This window comes from Homo sapiens, chromosome 11, assembly GCF_000001405.40.
Source record: "Homo sapiens chromosome 11, GRCh38.p14 Primary Assembly".
NCBI lineage: Eukaryota > Metazoa > Chordata > Mammalia > Primates > Hominidae > Homo > Homo sapiens.
The window spans coordinates 66,069,664-66,090,094 of record NC_000011.10 but is presented as its reverse complement, the minus strand read 5'-3'; the positions used below and the strand labels follow the sequence as shown (position 1 = coordinate 66,090,094).

Genomic DNA, 20,431 nt, shown 5'->3' with positions numbered 1-20,431 from the left:
TGGTAATTATGCCCACAGTCCCGGCAAAGAAGAGTTAACAAATACTTGAATTTATACCAATGGCATTTCTTTTTTTTTTTTTTTTTTTTGAGATGGAGTCTCGCTCTGTCCTCCAGGCTGGAGTGCAGTGGCGCGATCTTGGCTCACTGCAAGCTCAGCCTCCCGGGTTCACGCCATTCTCCTGCCTCAGCCTCTCGAGTAGCTGGGACTACAGGTGCCCGCCACCACACCCAGCTAATTTTTTGTATTTTTAGTAGAGACGGGGTTTCACTGTGTTAGCCAGGATGGTCTCGATCTCCTGACCTTGTGATCTGCCCACCTTGGCATCCTAAAGTGCTGGAATTACAGACGTGAGCCATCGCGCCCAGCCACCAATGGCATTTCTATGGTGCTCTGAGATACAAAGCATTTATAAGTTGTCTCGTCTGTTCTTCCCAAGAACTCTGAGTAGTCAGCTAGATAGTTATATTTACTTATTTCTATTTCGAGGAGAAGATTGAGCTGCAAAAGGTCATAGACCCCAAATCACAGAGTTTCTAATTGCTAAAAGAAGGATTTAATTCTTCTGGTTCCAAGTCCAGCGTTCAATCCACTCTACCAGGAAGCTTGTAAGCAGAAGTCTGTAAAGATTAACTGTTTGCTAATTTTTATAAAGTCTAGGTTGTATTAATAAATGGCAACACTTGAAACTGTTGACTTATTTTAGGTCTCTTCCTGCAAAAAAATCACACGCACTTGGGGACATTCAAGCATGCTTACATTTATGAACTATAATAACTGTCATAATAAGAGCAAAATGTCTTTAACAATTGAGTCTCAAAAGAATGATGGTGGTGGTAATGTCTCTGGGGTTGTCACAATGATTGAGAATTCACTGACATTCAGTGGTGGGAAAAATAAGAATGCCAAACATCCTACGACCCACAGTTGTGGGAACCTTCGAGTCCTGCACAATTAAGAAATGACTAGCTTCCCACATGATTTTCAACATTCATGTGAGTGAAAACATTCTGCCCAGGGATAGAATGAGGTTTTGTAGGGCCTACAGCTTAAAAAAGAGTCCTCTATAAGAAAAAGCATACAAAATTACAATTACAAAATTAGCTTTAGGGTTTAAAAATATCAAATATATAGGAATACATCTAAAGAAAAGTACAGAATACTTATATGCTAAAATATGCAAAACCATGACCTAAATAAATAAAGGGACATATGTCTATGAATTAAAAGATTCAATTTTAAAGATTTCAATTATCTGCACATCAATCCATAGAGATCAATGCAATCCTGAATAAAATTTCTCCCCCAAGAGAAGTTTTTAAGGAAACTGAAAAGCTGATTCTAAAATTCCTAAGGAAACACAAAAGGCAAAGACTACCTTAAGGCAATTATGAAGAAGCACAAAGCGGGAAGACACACTACGTAACAGGCCTATTATAAAGATACAGTCACGGAGACAGGGCGGCATTGATGCAAGGATGGACAGACTGACCGATGGTACAGAACAGAAAGCCTAAAATTAGAACTGCATGTAAAATATCATGGGACTTATGATCAAGGTGATAATGCAGTGCAGTGGGAAAAGGATGACCTTGTAAATAAATGGTACAGGGTTGAGTATCCGTATCAGGGGAAATGTGTCTTAATCCATACCTCACATCACATACAAATATCAATTTCAGATGGACTGGAACTCTAAATGTCGAAGGCAAACAATAAAACTTTTAGAAGAAAACAGTAGAGGACATCTTCATGATCTTAGAGTAGGCAAAGATTTCTTAAATAGAAAATAAAAGGTACTAAACAAAGGAAAAAATTGATAAATTGAATTATAAGATTAAGAATTTCTGTTCATTGAAAGACACCACTGAAAGAGTAAAAAGGTTGCTTGATATCGTCATAAAAATAAATAAATAAATAAATAAATATAAAGAGTAAAAAAGGAACACACAGAGTATGAGAAGATATTTTTGAGAAAAACAACTCCTAAAGGTAAATAAGAAACAGAGAGACAACCAAAATAGATAAATGTGCAATCAACCTGAACAGACAGTTCATAAAAGAGGATACACACACGGCCAACAAATACATGAAAAGGTGCTCAACATCATTGGGGAAATGCAAATTAAAGCCATAGGAGAAATCATTTTACTCCAGCCCAATTCTTTGCCTTGAAAAAGGCAAAAAAAAACCAAAAAACAATTGTTGGTGGAGATGTGCAGCAACAGGAACTTTCATATATTGCTCAGCTGAATATACTGTCCATATACCCCACAGCCCGGCAATCTGACTCCCAGGTATATACTGCAGAGAAATGAGTGCTTTGGTCTACCAACAGACATGTACAAGAATGCCCACAGTAGCACTATTCAGCATAGCCCAAACTGGAAATCTCCCATATAGCCATCAACAGCGGACTGTACACAAACTACGATATACTCACACCATGGAATACAGTACTACATAGCAACAAGATTACATTCACTACAACTCCATGCAACAAGGTGGATGCATCACATAAACATAATGTTGAGCAGCAGAAGTTAGATACAAGTGTTCTTGGCTGGCTCATGCCTGCAATCCCAGCACTGTGGGAGGCCAAGGCAGGTGGATCACCTAAGGTCAGGCATTCAAGACCAGCCTGGCCAACATGGTGAAACCCTTCCTCTACTAAAAGTACAAAAAATTAGCGGGGCATGGTAGCGCATGCCTGTAATCCCAGCTACAGGGGAATGCTGAGGCAGGAGAATCACTTGAACCTGGGAGGCGGAGGTTGCAGTGAGCAGAGATCGTGCCATTGCACTCCAGCCTAGGCGACAGAGCAAGACTCTGTCTCAAAAAAAAAAACAAAAAAAAAAAACAAGTGTTCTTTTGTACTTCATCCACTGTGTGAAGTACAAAAGCAGGCAAAACTAATGCGTGCTGCTGGAAATTAGGAAACTAGCTATCGTTGGTGGAGTGGGAGGGGTGGTATTAGAAGGGGGCATGGTAATGTTCTGGGGCGTTGGTAATGTTGTTTCTTGATGTGAGTGCTGCTTATATGTTCAGTTTATGAAAATTTATCAAGTTAGGCTTATGATATATGTCCTTTTCTGAGTGTACATGACATTCCAAACAAAAGGTTTTTTGTTTATTTCCATGACACAGCCTCAGAAGGCCCTGAAAACGTGCTCAAAAGGTGTTTGGGGCCGGCCCCACGCCTGTAATCCCAGCACTTTGGGAGGCAGAGGTGGGTGGATCACTTGAAGTCAGGAGTTCGAGATCAGCCTGACCAACTTGGTGAAACCCCATTTCTACAAAAAAATTAAAACACTGGCCAGGCATGGTGGTGTGTGCCTGTAATCCCAGCTACTCAGGAGGCTGAGGCACGAGAATCACTTGAGCCTGGGAGGCGGAGGTTGCCATGAGCTGAGATCACACTACTACACTCCAGCCTGGCGGACAGAATGAGACCCTGTCTCAAGGGAAAAGAAAAAAGGTGTTTTTGCTTTTGTTTTTCTAATTAGGGCCCTGGAAGTAGCCTGTGCATGTACAGGGCCCTAAAACTTAAAAGCTTCATCAGGTTCATAACAAATCGGCCTTTGGCCCTGCCAGACACATCATCTAAGTAAAAAGCAGTTTATAACTATCTCAGCCTAGACCTAAAGAGATCTTACAGGCCGGGCGCGGTGGCTCACGCCTGTAATCCCAGCACTTTGGGAGGCCGAGGCGGGTGGATCACGAGGTCAGGAGATCGAGACCATCCTGGCTAACACAGTGAAACCCCGTCTCTACTAAAAATACAAAAAATTAGCCGGGCGAGGTAGCGGGCGCCTGTAGTCCCAGCTACTCGGGAGGCTGAGGCAGGAGAATGGCGTGAACCCCGGGGGGCGGAGCCTGCAGTGAGCCGAGATCGCGCCACTGCACTCCAGCCTGGGCGACAGAGCGAGACTCCGTCTCAAAAAAAAAAAAAAAAAAAAAGAAATCATAAGCATTTTTTCACCACTAAATATACACTAAATTTTCCAGGAATGTAACCACTATGTAAATAAGGGAAAGATTATACTTTGTTTTGTGTAGAACTTTATGAAGATTTATTCACCATTTTAGAAAATCATATCGCCAGTGGCATTGCTACATATCTGAGTGACCAACACAATACACCTGTATTGGCCTCTATTTATAGGTGTCATATTCACACAAATAAAGCCACGTGTACCCACAAGCACCTGATGGCTCCAGTTTCCAATGTGCTGTGAGCATTTACATTTGTCTTCTGAGAATTTACACAGAAATACATATTTTATTACCATAATGTTCCTTTTATTTTTCTTTCATATTACAGTTAAGACTTTGTAGACAGGTCAGTAGATTTTATCTGGGAATTTTATTTCAGGATATTAAAGGGAGTCACAGGGTATGACAGGGTTGAGAACTAGTTACAAACCATCAGTCTATTGTTAAGAACTGTAAAGAGAATTCTAATTCCTAAACTTGGTAACTATTCTTTTATACTACTCACTTCATCAATACCACAAGTTGAATAATATACTTAACTAAAATGTAAAAGAACGAATGAAAGAAACAAATGAAAACCCAGCTGTCATTTTCAAGAGTAATTATCTAAGTATATCTATCATAAATTTGATCTAGATATAATGAGCAGAACGAGAGGGAAATAGGAGTTCAAACTGCAAACTCTGAGTCCTTTGCCTTTATAAAACAGTAAGATCCAGTTTGGCAATCTTGAGCAAAGGGCTCCATTATTTTTCTGTTCTCTTTCAAAAATAGCTCCACCTTCAAGATTACACAAATTAGATCATTCTGCAGCAGGATTCCTCCTCACAGAGCAGCTCCTAGGAAGTGCAGACAGGCTGTCTGATACAGCAAACCAGTCTTTCAAAAAAGAAAAAAACTCTTACAGTTACATTAGAAAAGAAAAAATATTAAAAAAGAAAAAAACATGATGTTTTGGACTTTTCTATTTCGCTGCGTTAGTGACAAAGGCTATGGGGCTACAGTTATTAATGGCTTCTGCAATCTACCTCTTTGGAAACCATCAAATAAATAAGGATTGCAGAGGGGACACCAGACAGCAAACACAACAGCAGAGTAATTAGGGATATTGAGACTCAGCCATTCCCACAGCATCACTGTGGCCTAAAGCATAAGAAGAACTCATCCAGGTTTTTAAAACAATCAGGTGCCAACCTATGGATTATTCTATCACCCAGTACATTCCCAAGAAATTTTATTTCCAATTAATTACAAATGGTAAAAGTGGAAACAAAAAAAACTCCCTCAAGAGCTCTGTTACACAGATCTCATTCTCACAGAAAGTCGCTAAGATAAAGAGACGACAATAATTATTTTTAAAGAAAACAAACAGAAAACTGACACAAAGAAGTTAAATGAACTATTGGTGTCATCCTTGAATCCTTTTGTTCTGTCACACCTCAAATCCAATCCATAGGCAAATCCTTCAGGCTTGACAATATGCCCAGACTCCCACCACTTTCTCATCTCCACCTCCACCACCCTAGTCCAAGCCAGCATCAGCTCCCACCTAGATCATCACAGCAGCCCCCTGACCGGACTCCCTGCTTCCACACACAGTGGTCAGGGGTTCTTTTAGGGTGGAAGTGACCATCATGCCTCCTCGCTGGCTCAAAAGCCCCAGTGACTTCCCATCTCACTCAAGATCAAAGCCAGAGTCCCACAATGGCCTGTGAGATCACCTGTTTTACCTCTCTGACTTTATCCATTACTCTCTCTTTAATTCACCTGGCTCCAGCCAAACTGGCCTCCTGGATGCTCTGGAACCTGCCAGTACTTCTTGTTCCCTCTACTGGGGGGCCTCATCCCATAAAATGCACCCAGCTTACCTAAATGTGTGTTCCATGTGGCCGGCTCGCTTTCTGAGGTCTTTCTAGACCACCTTGTTTAAAACCGTGACCTCTTTCCTCTGCCCACTTATCCCCATCCAGCTTTATTCTTCCCGTCCAACACACCCTAATATTTGCTCACTCACTCACTACTGCCTGCTGCCCACCCTGTCCCCAGAAGGTAAGCTCCGCAAGAGCTGGAATTTCTGTCTGTTTTGTTCACTGCTCTCTCCTCAGTATCCAAGCAGTGACTGGTCTGTAATGTGTGCTCAATAAGTATCTTTCAACTAAATGAGGAAACAGTAAAGGTATGTGCAGGAAGAGTTACAAAGACTTATCCAAACCCACATGGTGGGGTAAAGCCAAGTGAGAAATCAAACTTTAATGTCAAAGCATTTCTGGCACATGGTTTTAAAGAGACTATAGCAATTTGCTGGCTTTTTTTTTCCTCCACATTTATTATAATTGGCAGAAATATCTAAATGACAAACAAGAAAACAGAGCCACAGTCCTAAACAGTCATTCTTCTATAGCTGTTCTCTTAAGTGGATTTAAATATAATGAAGCCTCTCCACACTTGATACAAGGCATTCATTTATCAGTGTGGCTGCCTTAGAACCAGGCCCTTCTGGAGCCTAAGTAAACATATCACTTGGCCCAAGTCCAAAGCATACAAAACCAACCTTCTGCCAGATCTTAGATTTGGGAGACCATGACCCATTTCCAGCCCAAGCTTGCTTCCCCAGTGAGATGATACTTTCCTTTTTCTCCATGGAGGAAAAAGTCAACCAAAGGGATTAATGGCCAGTGTTTAATAATTACGGCCATTCTTTTTATACTTTTTTTAAAAGGAGAGATAGGACTACCTACAAGTAATAAAAACAAAGCAATAATGACATTACATGCGTTTAATGAACAATTCTCCCCACTAACGGCAAGGGCATAAACAATTTATTGCATATCTTGGTGGCAGAGAGGAAATACAATTAAATCCATTAATAGCCACAGGAGTTTTTATGTTCCCAGAGGACCTTGGTTTCCAGAGTTGCTTATTCATTTTCATCCACAGCAAAAGCAGTGCATGGGAGAGATGACAGAATGCTGTCAACTACTTTCTACATATTTTAACTCTGAGGACATAATTTCATAAACAATAGACTTAAGGCATATTACACTGCCCCATTCCATCGCCTGTGATTTAAAGTACCAAACAAAAACCTGCTTGTGAAGACAATGTAAAAGGTGGCTGATATGAGAGCTGCTGCAGTATAAATATTATACCATCATATTCATAGTTTCACTGACACTCCTCAAAGATGTGAAGGTCATGATTTCTATGAACATAGATGCTCAGACATTTTATTTTATATTTTTTGAAACAGAGTTTTGCTCTTGCTGCCCAGGCTGGAGTGCAATGGCATGATCTTGGCTCACTGCAACCTCTGCCTCTCGGGTTCAAGCGATTCTCCTGTCTCAGCCTCCCAAGTAGCTGAGATTACAGGCGACCGCCACACGCCCGGCTAATTTTTTTGTATTTTTAGTAAAGATGGAGTTTCACCATGTTGGCCAGGTAACTCCTGACCTCAGGTAATCCACCCACCTCGGCCTCCCAAAGTGCTGGGATTACAGGCGTGAGCCACAGCGCCCGGCCTGATGCGCAAACATTTTACAAACAAACATTTTATCTATCTTCATAACAAATGAGGTGTTTTTTTGTTTGTTTTTTTTTAAGGTGGCCAGACATAGTGGCTCACACCTGTAATCCCAATACTTTGCGAAGCTGAGGTGAGAGGATCACTTGAGGCCAGGGCAACATGGCAAAACCCCATCTCTATAAATAATTTAAAAATTAGCCGGGTATGGTGATGTGGACCTTTACTTGGAAGACTGAGGTTAGAGGATCACTTGAGTCCAGGAATTCGAGGCTGCAGTGAGCTATGATTGTACCACTGCACTCCAGCCTGTGGGACAGAGTAAGACTGTCTCAAAAACAAACAAACAAACAAAACCAAAAAACTAAAGAAAGCAGTTGTGCCCCATGTACCAGTCTACACTCTTCATTAAGCCCTGATGTTTACCATGAGAATCCATTCATCATTAAGATCCAGATTCAAGGAAATGTTAATCTGTGTTTTATACATTCTTAAAGAAGAACCAGAAACAAGTAAATATAATTGTAGATTTCCAACCAAAATGGAAAAATAAAGTCCTGATGCTTATTAAAGGTGAAAATTAACATACACCCAAAGATCTACATGTTTCAGGAGAGACCACAAATGTATTATCAGGTTTCTCCTGTAAAAGTAGAATGTAGTTTTTCTATGGCTTGAGACACAAAAAGGAAAACTTAAAAAGACAAGAGAAAAAAAAATTAACTACATTTAAACCCTCATTTTCCTAGGAGTTGCTCAGTTTTCACCGGTGACAAATGGCAAGCTGTAAACCGGTTCAGTTGCTCTTCTGCTGCCAAACCAGGGCTAAAGAAGTCAGCAGGTAAAACAGGGAAGCTGTCAAGTCAAGCTGGCTCAAAACAAAGCTGTGGTTTGCAGGCGGGGCCTGTACCATCTCTTCCGTTCATATAAGCTGGCAGGATGTAGAAACAGGATCCCGACCCAGCCACTGCTTCAGAGAACCAAAATATTTTGTTTTGACTTTGTAGTCTAATAAGCTTGGGGTTTGGCAGGATCTGTGCCTCAGGTGAACCCAAGACCTTGTGATGGTCCCACCGAGGAAATCTGAATATTACCCTAATTCTAGAAAGAAAGCATGTTTGTTTTGTTTGTTTTGTTTGTTTTGTTTTGGTTGGGGGGGGCAGGGAAGACGGAGAAATTAGGTTGACAAGAAAAACAGCAACAGTAATAGCTGATATTAAGTGCTTTCTATGTTGCCACACACACGATTAACATGTGTTAATAACAAAATTAACCTTATTTAATTCTGATGATAATCCTGTGAGACAGGGACTTTTCTTTTCTTTCTTTCTTTTTTCTTTTTTTTTGAGACAGGGTCTTGATCTGTCGCTCAGACTGGAGTGCAGTAGTGCGAACACAGCTCACTGAATTCTTGACTTCCTGAGCTCACACAATCCTCCAGCCTCAGCCTCCCAAGTAGCTGGGACCACAGGCGTGTGCCACCAAGCCCAGCTAATTTTTTTTTCTATTTTTTGTACAGACGGGGTCTCCCTATGTTGCCCAGGCTGGTCTCGAACTCCTGGGCTCAAGCAATCCTTCCACCTCAGCCTCCCAAATTGCTGGGGTTATAAGTATGAGCCACCACACTCAGCAGGGACAATTATTATGCCCATTTACAGATGAGAAAAGTTGAAGCATTATAGAGGTTAAAAACTTGTCCAGAGTCACTCAAATAGTAAAATCTGACCTGACTGGCTCCAGAACCCACACTCACAGCCACTATACCACACAGCCTCTCGCTGTCTATGATGGAAATTGAGCAGTGTTTTGTAATTCCAGCTGGCAAAGAATAAGGCATTAAATATTATTTGTCAGCTATGAGAACCAGACAGGGCTTGGGGGACCAAGTTTAAACACAGAAACGGCTCTGGTGTCTGGCAATCATGAGTCATGAGACAAATTCCAGCCCCGCCCACTTTTAAACTGTGTAGTCTTAAAAAAATGCCTTCACCTCACAGGGCCTCAATTTTCCCTTCTGAGAAAAGGGATCGTAGCACCTGGCTCTGGCAGTTTTGTGGCACACAGTAAATGCTCTGGTCATCAGCTTCACTGCAGCGAGCATCAGCGCAACTGTCACCTTACCAGAGGCCCTCCCTCACCAAGACAGCCTTTCCCCCCACACTCAGTTCCCCACCACACTATTCTTTGTGACCCTACTCGCTATCTGACCATTTATCACAGATATAACAATATAATTGTTCCTCATCTGTCACCCCCACCAGAAAGCACACCCCGGGAGAGAATGGACTTTGTCAGCCTGTCTGCTGCTGCTTCTCCAGAGCCTAGATCAGTGCTTGGCACACAGAAACACTCAGTAAATATTTGGTGAATGGATGAATTGTGCATAACAGATAGTCATTCAATAAACATTATAAAACACTATAGGAAAATCAGTGTCATTGATTTGACAAATGTAGTTATTGAGCATCTATAAAGTAACTAAATAAAGGAACAAGATTATTTCCAGTAATGGCGAGTAGGTGTGAAGTAGCTTTATAAACTCCCAGAAGGGGTTGGGCAGGTGAGGACAGCCTTCCAAGGTAGCAGGTCAGTGAAGAGCTGAATGATACCCAGGAGCTAGTCTCAGCGATCCAAGGATCCAGGGAAAGGGTATCACAGGTAGAGGGAACAGCAAGTGCAAAAGCCCTAAGGCGAGGGTGACCCACCGCAGGAACAAGGGGAGAACGCAAAGGTGAGGTCAAAGACATGGGAAGGGGCTGCATCGTTTAGCATCTCCTGAACCATGAAAAGGGGATCTTTTTTAAGTATGACGGAAAGTTACTGGATGGTGTCTCTTATCTTCACCCACTAGAATGCAGACTTCATGAGATCAAGGATTTTGCTTGCGGCACATATCAGCTGGTCTATAAGCTTTTGCTGAATGAATGAACTGGAAGATTATAGAGGGGGTGTGACAAGTTCTGATTTTCATTTTAAAATATCACTCTGAACTGCCACTAGTGGTTACTTTCTGGGAAGGACTAAGGTGGCAGAGGTTGGGAGGGATTACAATGCAATGTGTTTGAGAGGTACCATAAAACAGAAAAACAGAAGGGAAAAGCTGCTCCCTAAACCCTGAAGCCATTTGGTGTTTGTAAACAAGAGGCAGGAAAAGGTTAGTGAGGAGGGATCAGTAAATGATGACTGATGCCCCAAGCCTTAGTGTGTTCTAAACTTTTTTTTTTTTTACCCAGACCTTTTCCCAGCAATAAACTATTAAAAAAAAAAAAAAAAAACCTGCTACAAAGAATGTCTCACCTACCAAGAGGAACAAAAGAAAACTCACAGACAGATACAGAAGTGCACATACTCACACACAAACACACACAATGTTTCAGAAAAACAACTGAAAAGAGGCTGGGCGGTGGCTCACGCCAGTAATCTGCTGACGCGGGCTTGAGGTCAGGAGTTCAAGACTAGCCTGGCCATCATGGTGAAAGCCTGTCTCTACTAAAAATACAAAAATTAGTCGGGCATGGTGGTATGCACCTGTAATCCCAGCTACTTGGGAGGCTGAGGCTGGAGAATCACTTGAACCCGGGAGACAGAGGTTGCAGTGAGCCAAGATAGCGCCACTGCACTCCAGCCTGGGCAAGAGAGCAAGACTCTGTCTCAAAAAGAAAAAGAAAAGAAAACAGCTGAAAAGAAAAAACGCCTTCCTATATCTCAGCACAATAACCAGCCTAGCCTGGGTGCGGTGGCTTACGCCTATAATCCCAACACTATGGTAGGCTGAGGCGGGAGGATTGCTTGAGCCCAGGAGTTTGAGATCAGCCTGGGCAGCATAGTGGGACCTTGTCTCTGCAAAAAATTAAAAAGTTAGCAGGGCATGTTGGCATGTGCCTGTGGTTCCAGCTACTTGGGAGTCTAAGGAGGGAGGATCACTTGAACCCAGGAGGTTGAGGCTGAACAGAGTGAGCTGTGTTCATGCCACTGCATTCCAGTTTGGGCAACAGAGTGAGAGCCTATCTCAAAATCAAAAACAAAATAACCAGTCTAAAATCCTTCAGAGACAATTAACATGCCAGTCATACCCAAAATGTTAGCTGGGGGAAATCCTACTCATAATAAAGTTTTGAGAGGTAGTTTGGAAAACTAGTTTAGAAAGAAATCACATAACCACTAATGTGTCCAAAAGATCTGTCATTTGGAGGAGTTACACAGACTACAAAGAAGGGAACAGGTGTTACAGTAGGGAGCAAATTTAAGGCGTCACTCCTTTCACATCTACCTATATTTATACGAGGTCACTAAAAAACATACACAGCAAATTACCCACATCACAATTTCTAAGACGCATACAGTTCTAAAAAGTGTTTTTGCCAAAATGACCTGTGGATACCACTGTATTTACAAAACTAAAAGTACTGAAAGTGTTGAAAGGATGAAGGGAGCCCAGGTTGATCTGAGAGTGGACACAGATCATTACTCACAAGGAGAAAAGAGGAAGAACGATATTTGAGATTCAGAAAAATTGTTGAAGCTAGCACTAAACTCAAATATTCCAACCTTTGTTGTACCTTAAAAACCTTACAGTTGGCCAGGCATGGTTGCTTACAACTGTAATCCCAGCACCTTGGGAGGCTGAGGTAGGTGAATCACCTGAGGTCAGGAGTTCGAGACCAGCCTGGCCAACATGGTGAAACCCCGTCTCTACTAAAAATACAAAATTATCCATGCATGGTGGTGCATGCCTGGAATCCCAGCTACTCGGGAGGCTGAGGCAGGAGAATTGCTTGAACCTCGGAGGCGGAGGTTTCCGTGAGCCGAGACTGCGCCTTTACACTCCAGCCTAGGTGACAAGAGCAAAACTCCGTCTCAAAAAAAAAAAAAAAACAAACTTACAATTTAAAAGGATCTGCACAAAATTAAATAAACAAACCTGCCATCAACACTATTTTATCACCTATGCCTCACCATCTACCTCAACACAAGGAAAGTAATGACTTAGAACATTCTCTATTCACCCATTTTTGTTTGAGACAGGGTCTTACTCTGTTGCCCAGGCTAGAGTACAGGGGCGAGATCATGGCTCACTGAAGCCTCGACCTCCAGAGCTCAAGTGCTCTTCCCACCTCAGCCTCCTGAGTAGCTGGGACCACAGGCGCACGCCACCACACCTGGCTAATTTTGTTTATTTTTTGTGGAGAGGGGTTGCCATGTTGTCTAGGCTGGTCTCAAACTCCTGGGCTCAAGTGACCCTTCCGCCTCAGCCTCCCAAAGTGCTGGGATGATAGGCATGAGCCACCACGCCCAGCCTTGGAATGTTTTAATAAACTATTTTCTAGAAGTTTTCTAGATGTGTTTCATTGGTTAGCTGTCTGTTCTACTGCGATTCCCAAGGTCAAGAGGCAGGGTGCAGGTCTGCCTAAGTGGCGATCCCTGAGTTGTGACCAAAGCCATTCTCTGGTTTTTAATGAGATAACGGGGAACACAGGTCCAGCTGACTGCCCTGTGAACATCTATAAGGGGTAACACTCTAGAGCTGGTGCATATCTTGGTCTCTAAAACCTTTGGAAGCTGGTTATTCCTCTATCTAGGTCCACAAAGAAGACCCTGTCAGTGCTTGCCAACCTAAGAGACTGCCCACCTTGCTTGATGGCCCTCTGAAAGAAGTTCTAAGTCCAACTCCAAACTCTGACTTTCCTCAAGAGCCCTCAATATCACCTCAAGCCCTGTGCTGGAAGAAGACCAACGTTGGCAAATCATTCCCACAGCTACGCTAGATTCCCACGGAATTTCCGGAATGTGACAACATGGGTGCAAGCCAGGCCAACACCAAATTTCAGAGGACCCACCATGTAGATGCATGCTGGCATCTACATCAACACCTTCAAGTCCAGGCCAGTCCAGGCACAGTGGCTCACATCTGTAATCCCAGCACTTTGGGAGGCCGAGGCCGCCGGATCACTTGAGGTCAGAAGTTCGAAACCAGCCTGGCCAACATGGGGAAACCCCGTCTCTACTAAAAATACAAAAATGTGCTGGGTGTGGTGGCGTGCGCCTATAGTCCCAGCTACCTGGGAGGCTGAGGCTCAAGAATCCTGGGAGGCGGAGGTTGCAGTGAGCCGAGATCGCACCATTGCACTCCAGCCTGGGCAACAGAACAAGACCCTGTCTCAAAAAAAAAAAAAGTCCAAGTCCAAACTGGACAAGCCTCCTGAACTGAGGTAGTGAAAAGACGCAGCTCTAACATTTTCTGAGGCGTACCCGCCCTCATTCCAGCACCTACAACAACAGTGACAACTTACTGGCTTAGCTAAGAAATTGGAAAACTAGTTTAGAAAGAAATCACATAACCGCTAAGGTGTCCAAAAGATCTGTAAATCAATACATGTAAAATGGACTCTGTGAAAGTCATTATCTTTCTAACTCATGTAATCTGAGCTTCCACAGGGACGATGGATACTATTACCCTGATAGAGATGATATTCTATTACAACACTCACAATGTGAAATTCAAATCTCCTAAGGTACAAACATGCTTTTAAGACTTTTAATGTGGCTGAGCGCGGTGGCTCACGTCTGTAATCCCAGCACTTTGGAAGGCCAAGGCAGGTGGATCACGAGGTCAGGAGATCGAGAGCATCCTGGCTAACATGGTAAAACCCCGTCTCTACTAAAAATATAAAAAATTAGCTGGGCGTGGTGGCGGGCACCTGCAGTCCTAGCTACTTGGCAGGCTGAGGCAGGAGAATGGCGTGAACCCAGGAGGCAGAGCTTACAGTGAGCCAGATCGCGCCACTGCATTCCAGCCGGGGGACAGAGCGAGACTCCGTCTCAAAAAAAAAAAAAAAAAAAGGACTTTTAATGCTAGGGTAGTAATAGAAATTTCATCAGGTCTTTCTTATTTGATCAATTACATTTACTTTATACCTATAATTTAAGAAATACTTTCTCCCATGCTTCTATAGATCCAATTTTATATATATTTCATCCACATCTAAGAATGGATGGTAAGTAAAAGTATTCCCATAAAGATGAAAAAACTAAGGCATGGGCCAGGCACAGTGGTTCACACCTGTATCCCAGTACTTCGAGAGACTGAGGCGGGAGGATCACTTGAGCCCAGGAGTTCGAGACCAGCCTGGGCAACACAGCAAGACCCCATCTCTACAAAAAAATCTTAAAATCAGCCTGGCATGGTGGCAAGTGCCTATGGTCCCAGCTACTCAGGAGGCTGAGGTGAGAGGAATGCTTGAGCCCAGGAGGTCTAGGTTGCAATGAGCCGTGATTGTGCCACTGCACTCCAACCTGAGTAAAAAAGCAAGACTGTGTCTCAAAAAAACAAAACAAAGGCTGGGCATGGTGGCTCACGCCTGTAATCCCAGCACTTTGGAAGGCCAAGGCGGGCAGATCACAAGCTCAGGAGATCGAGACCATCCTGGCTAACACAGTGAAACGCCATCTGTACAAAAAAATACAAAAAATTAGCCAGGTGTGGTGGCAGGCGCCTGTAGTCCCAGCTACTCGGGAGGCTGAGGCAGGAGAATGGAGCGAACCTGGGAGGCGGAGCTTGCAGTGAGCCGAGATTGCACCACTGCACTCCAGCCTGGGCGACAGAGCGAGACTCCATCTCAAAAAAAAAAAAAAAAAAACACCAAAAAAAAATTAATAAAATTAAACTAATGCATGGAAGAGTTTGTCCTAGTATATAGTAAGAAGATAGAGTAGTATATCTTGGCTCGTATAGTGCTTCTGTGGTTAAAGGGGCAAATGCCCCCAAGCGTTTTCATGAAAGTAACACTTCTGCTGCAGACCAGTCATGCCAACTCAGCTATGGCCACCTTCTGTGATTCCAACGCTTTTGTCCATTAAGGCTTGACCTCAGCACCCACTTAAAAAAAATGTGACCTAAGGAGAAAAGTGACTGATAACTGCCAACTCCTACCCTAAGTTCACATACACATAAGGGTATGCAAATGGGCTTTGGATATGGTTTGCGAATGATACAGCAGAGCACATTTCATCTCTTAATAATCACTTTTATGCCACTGAGGAAATTTTGAATGCTTGTAAAATTTAGTAATTTTTCTGCCTCTCCTACTTACAGCAACACAAAAAGAAAAGAACATCAGGGAAACCTCACCATACAAAGGCAGAAGGGAAGGGATCAACAATGAGGCTCTAACACCCTTCCTTTAACATCAAGCAGCATGCCACCTGGTCCCCATAACCCTGCACCACGGTCCATGCCATACTGGACCATAGTAGAGGAAGTACTACTTAGCATGAAGGGAAAACAATGCTAACTTCTAAAGCTTGAATTTCATAAAAGATAAAGGAACTATAGCAAAACTACCTTTTTGTAACAGAATCTTAAAAGCCAACTGTATTTCACAGTGATTACCTCTGGGAAGTGAGAAGAGGGATGGACTGGGGGCTTTTTCCTTTGTGCTTTCCATCTTTCCATACTGCTCAAATTTCTAATCATGGACATATATTAATCATTTTGTCTTTAAAAAAAATGCTGGTAAAAGGCTGGGCACAGTGGCTCACACCTGTAATCTCAGCACTTTGGGAGTCCGAGGTAGGAGGACAGTTTGAAGCAAGGAGTTCAAGACCAGCCTGGGCAACATAGTGAGACCCTGTTTTTAAAAAAAAAAAAAAAAAAAAAAAAAAAGCCAGGTGTGATGTCACATGCCTATAGTCCCAGCTACTTGGGAGGCTGAGGCTGGAGGATTGCTGAGCCCAGGAGTTGGAGGCTGCAGTGAGCTATGACTGTGCCACTACACTGTAGCCTGGATGACAGAGCAAGACTCCATCTAAAGAAAAAAAACAAAAAATGCTGGTGAAAAATGTGATCAACAGAACAATTTCATTCTTTTAAAACCAGCTGTGAGTAAGCTATTCACCTATATAAAGTTTTTCAAAAGTACTATGTATTCTGGGGGAATTTAACAGATGTTAAATAAGAGCAGACACCTACCTGAAGAACAACTACACTGCTCTTTATTTAAATATCTAATACAGGAAACGGTATTTTTTTCAAAAGAAAATTATATTTTGACAGGCATCAAGAAAAGCAGCAGGACCTTCCTAACACTGTACTGTTCGAGCCCCTCTTCTCTGCCCTAAGAGACCAAATCCCATGACATTCTTATGCACACCTAACCTTAGATCCACAATCATGTTTACATTTCTAAGGGGCATGTATCTCATATATTTGTGTCCCGTTTGAGTTACATGAGACAAGAATGTTAATCCCTCCACAGAGTGCTGCATGTTGCCTATATATTCTAAACAACATGAACAAGGACACCCAGGAGACCTCAAATTAACCAGATGACTCTAATAATTGGAAAGACCAATGGCAGGCCATTTTCTCCCCACAGAGTGTTATTCTGGCCTGCAAAATGCTCAAAGAGCACATGTGTTCCACAAGGAGTGAGGAGGTACAAGGGTGATGGATGAAAAACAATGTCGGAGCAGGACAGTGGACAAGCTCAAGGACTGGTCAGTAAACGTGACGTAACTGCACACTCCCGGAATGTAAAAATAAGTCCGCCTAAGCCTCTCACAGCAAGTTAGCATAATAATTATACATTTGATCAGGATGCCTGGCTGTTTCTTAGGCTAATAATTTATTACGTGGACTTTGCAGTGACCAAAAGACCTAGGGGCAGACCAAACATCAACAGCAGTCAATGATTTCATTCACGCCCCTCTGCTGCAGCTCCTTGCCAGTAGGCTCGCGCCTTTTCAACCTAACGAGATGGAGAAGGCAGCTGCCCAAACGTCACCAAACACAGGCATGAAAGTGAAGGAGAAATGGGAAAGACTGGACCCACGTAGGAAGGAACACAGTGTTTCTATGTGTGAAAGAGGTGGGTTAGGATACTTCAGCGATAGATGGGCCTGTATAGAAAGAGAGAGGCCTGCTTAGGATCAAGAGAGGAACACCATCACATACTCAACTCTCGCTTGAGCTTGGTGTTGTGCTATGGATCTGGCCACAGCAAACTAAATTAATGTGGCTCCTGATTTCCCTAGAGAAAGGACAGAGAAAAAAAAAACAATGTGTAAATCTGTTAAGTGATGTGGAAACACAGAGTGGAAGCAGCCTGTGGAAACAATCTACTTTTGCCTAGTGAAGTCCCAGATCTATACCCTGCGAGCGGCAATCCCACCCCTCCATATGAATACAACCTAAAGAAACTTCTGCACAAGAGCACTAGGAGTCCTGGGGGGAAATGTGTGCATTACTGTGGGTGTTAAACAGGAAACAACCTACATATTCAAGAGAATTACGGTATATTCATTCACACAACAGAATACTACCCATCATGAAAATATTTAAACTATGGCTACCATACCACATGGATGATTCTCACAAACCTAATGCTGATTTAAAAAAAAATAAAAAAACCAATCAAGTCACAGAACACATACAGGATGACACCATGTACACAAACTTCAAGAACATTCAGAACTATAAAATATATAGAGATGCATTATGTAGTAAAACTAATTTTTTTCTAACAAGGGAAATGATAAACACAATTCAAAATAGTGTTTACCTTTGTAGAAGGAAGAGGGGAGACAGTCAGGAAGGGGCACCCTGAGAGCTTCAACAGAAGCGATAATGCTCTGTTCCTTAAGCTGAGCGAAACAGAAAGATGTACTCTCATCATTCCTATCTGGGATATATATATAAAACAATATTATCCAGAATAAAGGTGGGGAAAGGAAGACAGTCGAGGGGGGAGCCCAGCAATCCTCTCTAACTCTGACTTACACATCCGTCTGCCTAACCAACAGTGAGGAGACAGCCCAAGACTTCAAGGCAACAGAATCAACTCAGCTACAAGGTGACAAAAAAGAACACCTCCAGGCACTTCTCTGGGCTTTCTGGGTGAAACCAGCTCCACACACCGTCTTATTCAAGTGGCAAACTGTAAGACACAGCACCCTGTCCCCAGAGTTGGAGACAGACTGCCTTGCCAATACAAAAACAGAAAATATTCCCAAACTCAGGCCTATTTTGCCAATGGAAGGAAAGTCCCCAGATGGTTCCAACAGACAGAGAGCAATGGATTGAATTTAGGAACAAGGCAGTAATTTCATACAGCCCTGCAGAGCTGGGAGATTCTGGGACCAGTTTTAGTGGGGGAGGGGAGGTAAAAATACACTTGAGGACACATTAAATAGGGCCCCAAAACTAAGAGCCTAGCGCTTGGGACAGAACGTGTGTAATATGAAGTTCAAATGAACATGTGTGCCGAAGGCTAATGAGAAGCCCCTAGGGTGATTATATGAGCTTTACCTGCAAGAGGTGACAATCGAGTTTGGCACATGCTGAGTCTATTGGGAAATAATAATATCAAGAGATCTATACCACATCCATGTATGTACAGCTCCCGGCGCCGGCGAGGCAGGAGAGTGACTTACTCAGGGAAACTGACTGCCAGGAAGGCCGGATTCGGTCAGCCCAATCGGAGAAAGCCCGGGGCCGAGGCCAGAAGGTCCCTCGGGGAGGACAGAAGGGTGGTCCCGGCCCCAGGCAGAAGGTGGGGCTGCCAGGAGAGGGCGGGTCCCCGTGGCAGGAGTCCCGGGAGGCCTGGCTGGAGCCAGGCCGGGCCGCGGGACAGTCGGGGAGATGGAGGGCGGGGACCCCATGGGCGCTGGGGCGGGGAGGGCTGGGCCCCGGCGGCCACCCCGCTCCCCCGGCGCCCCGCCGCACCCTCCCGCGCTCACCTAGGCACGCAGCTGGACGAGCTCCGGTCCACCTCCCAGGTGGCGTACAGGTTCATCTGCACCGGGGCGGGGGTGCGGCCTGGCCCCGGGCCACCGGGAGGCGCGGAGCCCGAGGCCACCGCCACGGCCATGGAGGTGGAGGTAGACGAGGACGAGGAGGAGGCAGCCGCCGCCGAGGTGGACGAGGACGACGAGGTGGCCTGGGCCAGCTTGGGGGGCGTCGGCTGCTGCGGCGGCTGCTGCTGCTGCTGCTGCGGCGGCGGCTGCTGAGGGGACTGGGCGACCCCGGATCCCCGCTGGCCGCTGCCGCCCCCGGCGCCTCCGGGACCACCGCCCGCCCCTCCGCGTTCCGCCATGGCCCGGCTAGGCGGGGGTTACGGAGGCCGAGGCGACGCCGATCTGGCTCCCAGGCTTCCCCCGCGGCGGCGGCGGCGGGGGCGCGGCAGCCTCCTCAGCCCGCCTGCCCGAGCGCGAGCAGCCAGCGAGCTGCACGCACGCGCGGGGCCTCTGGGCGCGCGGGCCTCGCGCTCGACCGCCGCTGCCTGTTGCGGCTCGCGAGGCCGACACGGGTGGGCGTGTCCGGGAGGGGGCGGGGAGCCCGGCCCGCGCGGCCCCACCCAGCGCGGAGGGGCCGGGCCGGGCGCGCTCGCGCCCTGCGTGCAGCCACGCGCGCCCCTCGCTCCCGCGGAGTAGAAGGGGTGGTCTGTGGCCAGCGCGCGCCCACGGGTCCTGCCCTCAAATCCGCTGCCAGTCTGCCCCCGCTCCTCCCCTCCCCGCCCACGGCCGGCCGCGGCCCCGCCAGCGGAAACCCGGCTTTTCCGGGATTCGGTCCCTGCAGGGAGGGGGCCGCCGCGGGAGCGCGCCTCGGCCCCTCGGGTCTTCGGAGCCAATGCGGAACCCGCCCCCAGCGGTGGGGGTCTGCCCGGGGAAGCCGGCTCTCCGCCTGCCGACCTAGCCCTGCCCTGCGGCCCCGGCAAACAGAGAGGTCGGCGGAGACCCGGGGCCCGCTGCCACCGCGGGTGCCTGTGATCCGGGAAGTTCCCGCCCCGAGGGCAAGCGGGGGCTCAGGGACCTGGAGTCCAGAAGGTTCTTCGCATAAGTGAATTCTCAAGCTACCCCGGGGCCCATCTGGAGCCAACCTTCCTCTTCTTTCCCTACCCCCCAAATGCCTCTTTAGAG

The 20,431-nt window shown here is 45.2% G+C and overlaps 1 protein-coding gene across 2 annotated transcripts in view, besides 7 other annotated features; it reads right to left on the bottom strand.

Moving 5' to 3' along the window:
- The window catches only part of PACS1 (phosphofurin acidic cluster sorting protein 1), a 174,473-nt gene extending 154,650 nt beyond the window's left edge, over window positions 1–19,823 (bottom strand). The window contains exon 1 of one of the 2 annotated variants that reach the window (NM_018026.4): window positions 19,253–19,823. In NM_018026.4, the coding sequence (NP_060496.2) occupies window positions 19,253–19,608 (356 nt within the window). In that variant the 5' untranslated portion in view covers window positions 19,609–19,823. Of the gene's footprint in view, window positions 1–5,864; window positions 6,118–19,252 lie in introns of those variants that run through there. The other variant, XM_011545164.3, reaches the window with a different exon arrangement.
- Window positions 9,583–9,632: an enhancer, noted in NCBI's record as "active region_5031". NCBI's record gives its function as "activates an Ori minimal core promoter by ATAC-STARR-seq in GM12878 lymphoblastoid cells {active_cell/tissue: GM12878}" and the evidence as "EXISTENCE:reporter gene assay evidence [ECO:0000049][PMID:35858748]".
- Window positions 11,906–12,025: an enhancer, noted in NCBI's record as "active region_5030". NCBI's record gives its function as "activates an Ori minimal core promoter by ATAC-STARR-seq in GM12878 lymphoblastoid cells {active_cell/tissue: GM12878}" and the evidence as "EXISTENCE:reporter gene assay evidence [ECO:0000049][PMID:35858748]".
- Window positions 18,879–19,083: a silencer, noted in NCBI's record as "fragment chr11:65838483-65838687 (GRCh37/hg19 assembly coordinates)". NCBI's record gives its function as "represses an EF-1alpha promoter that drives an FKBP-Casp9 reporter gene in an ReSE screen in phorbol 12-myristate 13-acetate-treated (for megakaryocytic differentiation) K562 erythroleukemia cells {active_cell/tissue: K562(+PMA)}" and the evidence as "EXISTENCE:reporter gene assay evidence [ECO:0000049][PMID:32094911]".
- Window positions 19,144–19,293: a silencer, noted in NCBI's record as "silent region_3576". NCBI's record gives its function as "represses an Ori minimal core promoter by ATAC-STARR-seq in GM12878 lymphoblastoid cells {active_cell/tissue: GM12878}" and the evidence as "EXISTENCE:reporter gene assay evidence [ECO:0000049][PMID:35858748]".
- Window positions 19,304–19,433: a silencer, noted in NCBI's record as "silent region_3575". NCBI's record gives its function as "represses an Ori minimal core promoter by ATAC-STARR-seq in GM12878 lymphoblastoid cells {active_cell/tissue: GM12878}" and the evidence as "EXISTENCE:reporter gene assay evidence [ECO:0000049][PMID:35858748]".
- Window positions 19,584–19,633: a silencer, noted in NCBI's record as "silent region_3574". NCBI's record gives its function as "represses an Ori minimal core promoter by ATAC-STARR-seq in GM12878 lymphoblastoid cells {active_cell/tissue: GM12878}" and the evidence as "EXISTENCE:reporter gene assay evidence [ECO:0000049][PMID:35858748]".
- Window positions 19,644–20,263: a silencer, noted in NCBI's record as "silent region_3573". NCBI's record gives its function as "represses an Ori minimal core promoter by ATAC-STARR-seq in GM12878 lymphoblastoid cells {active_cell/tissue: GM12878}" and the evidence as "EXISTENCE:reporter gene assay evidence [ECO:0000049][PMID:35858748]".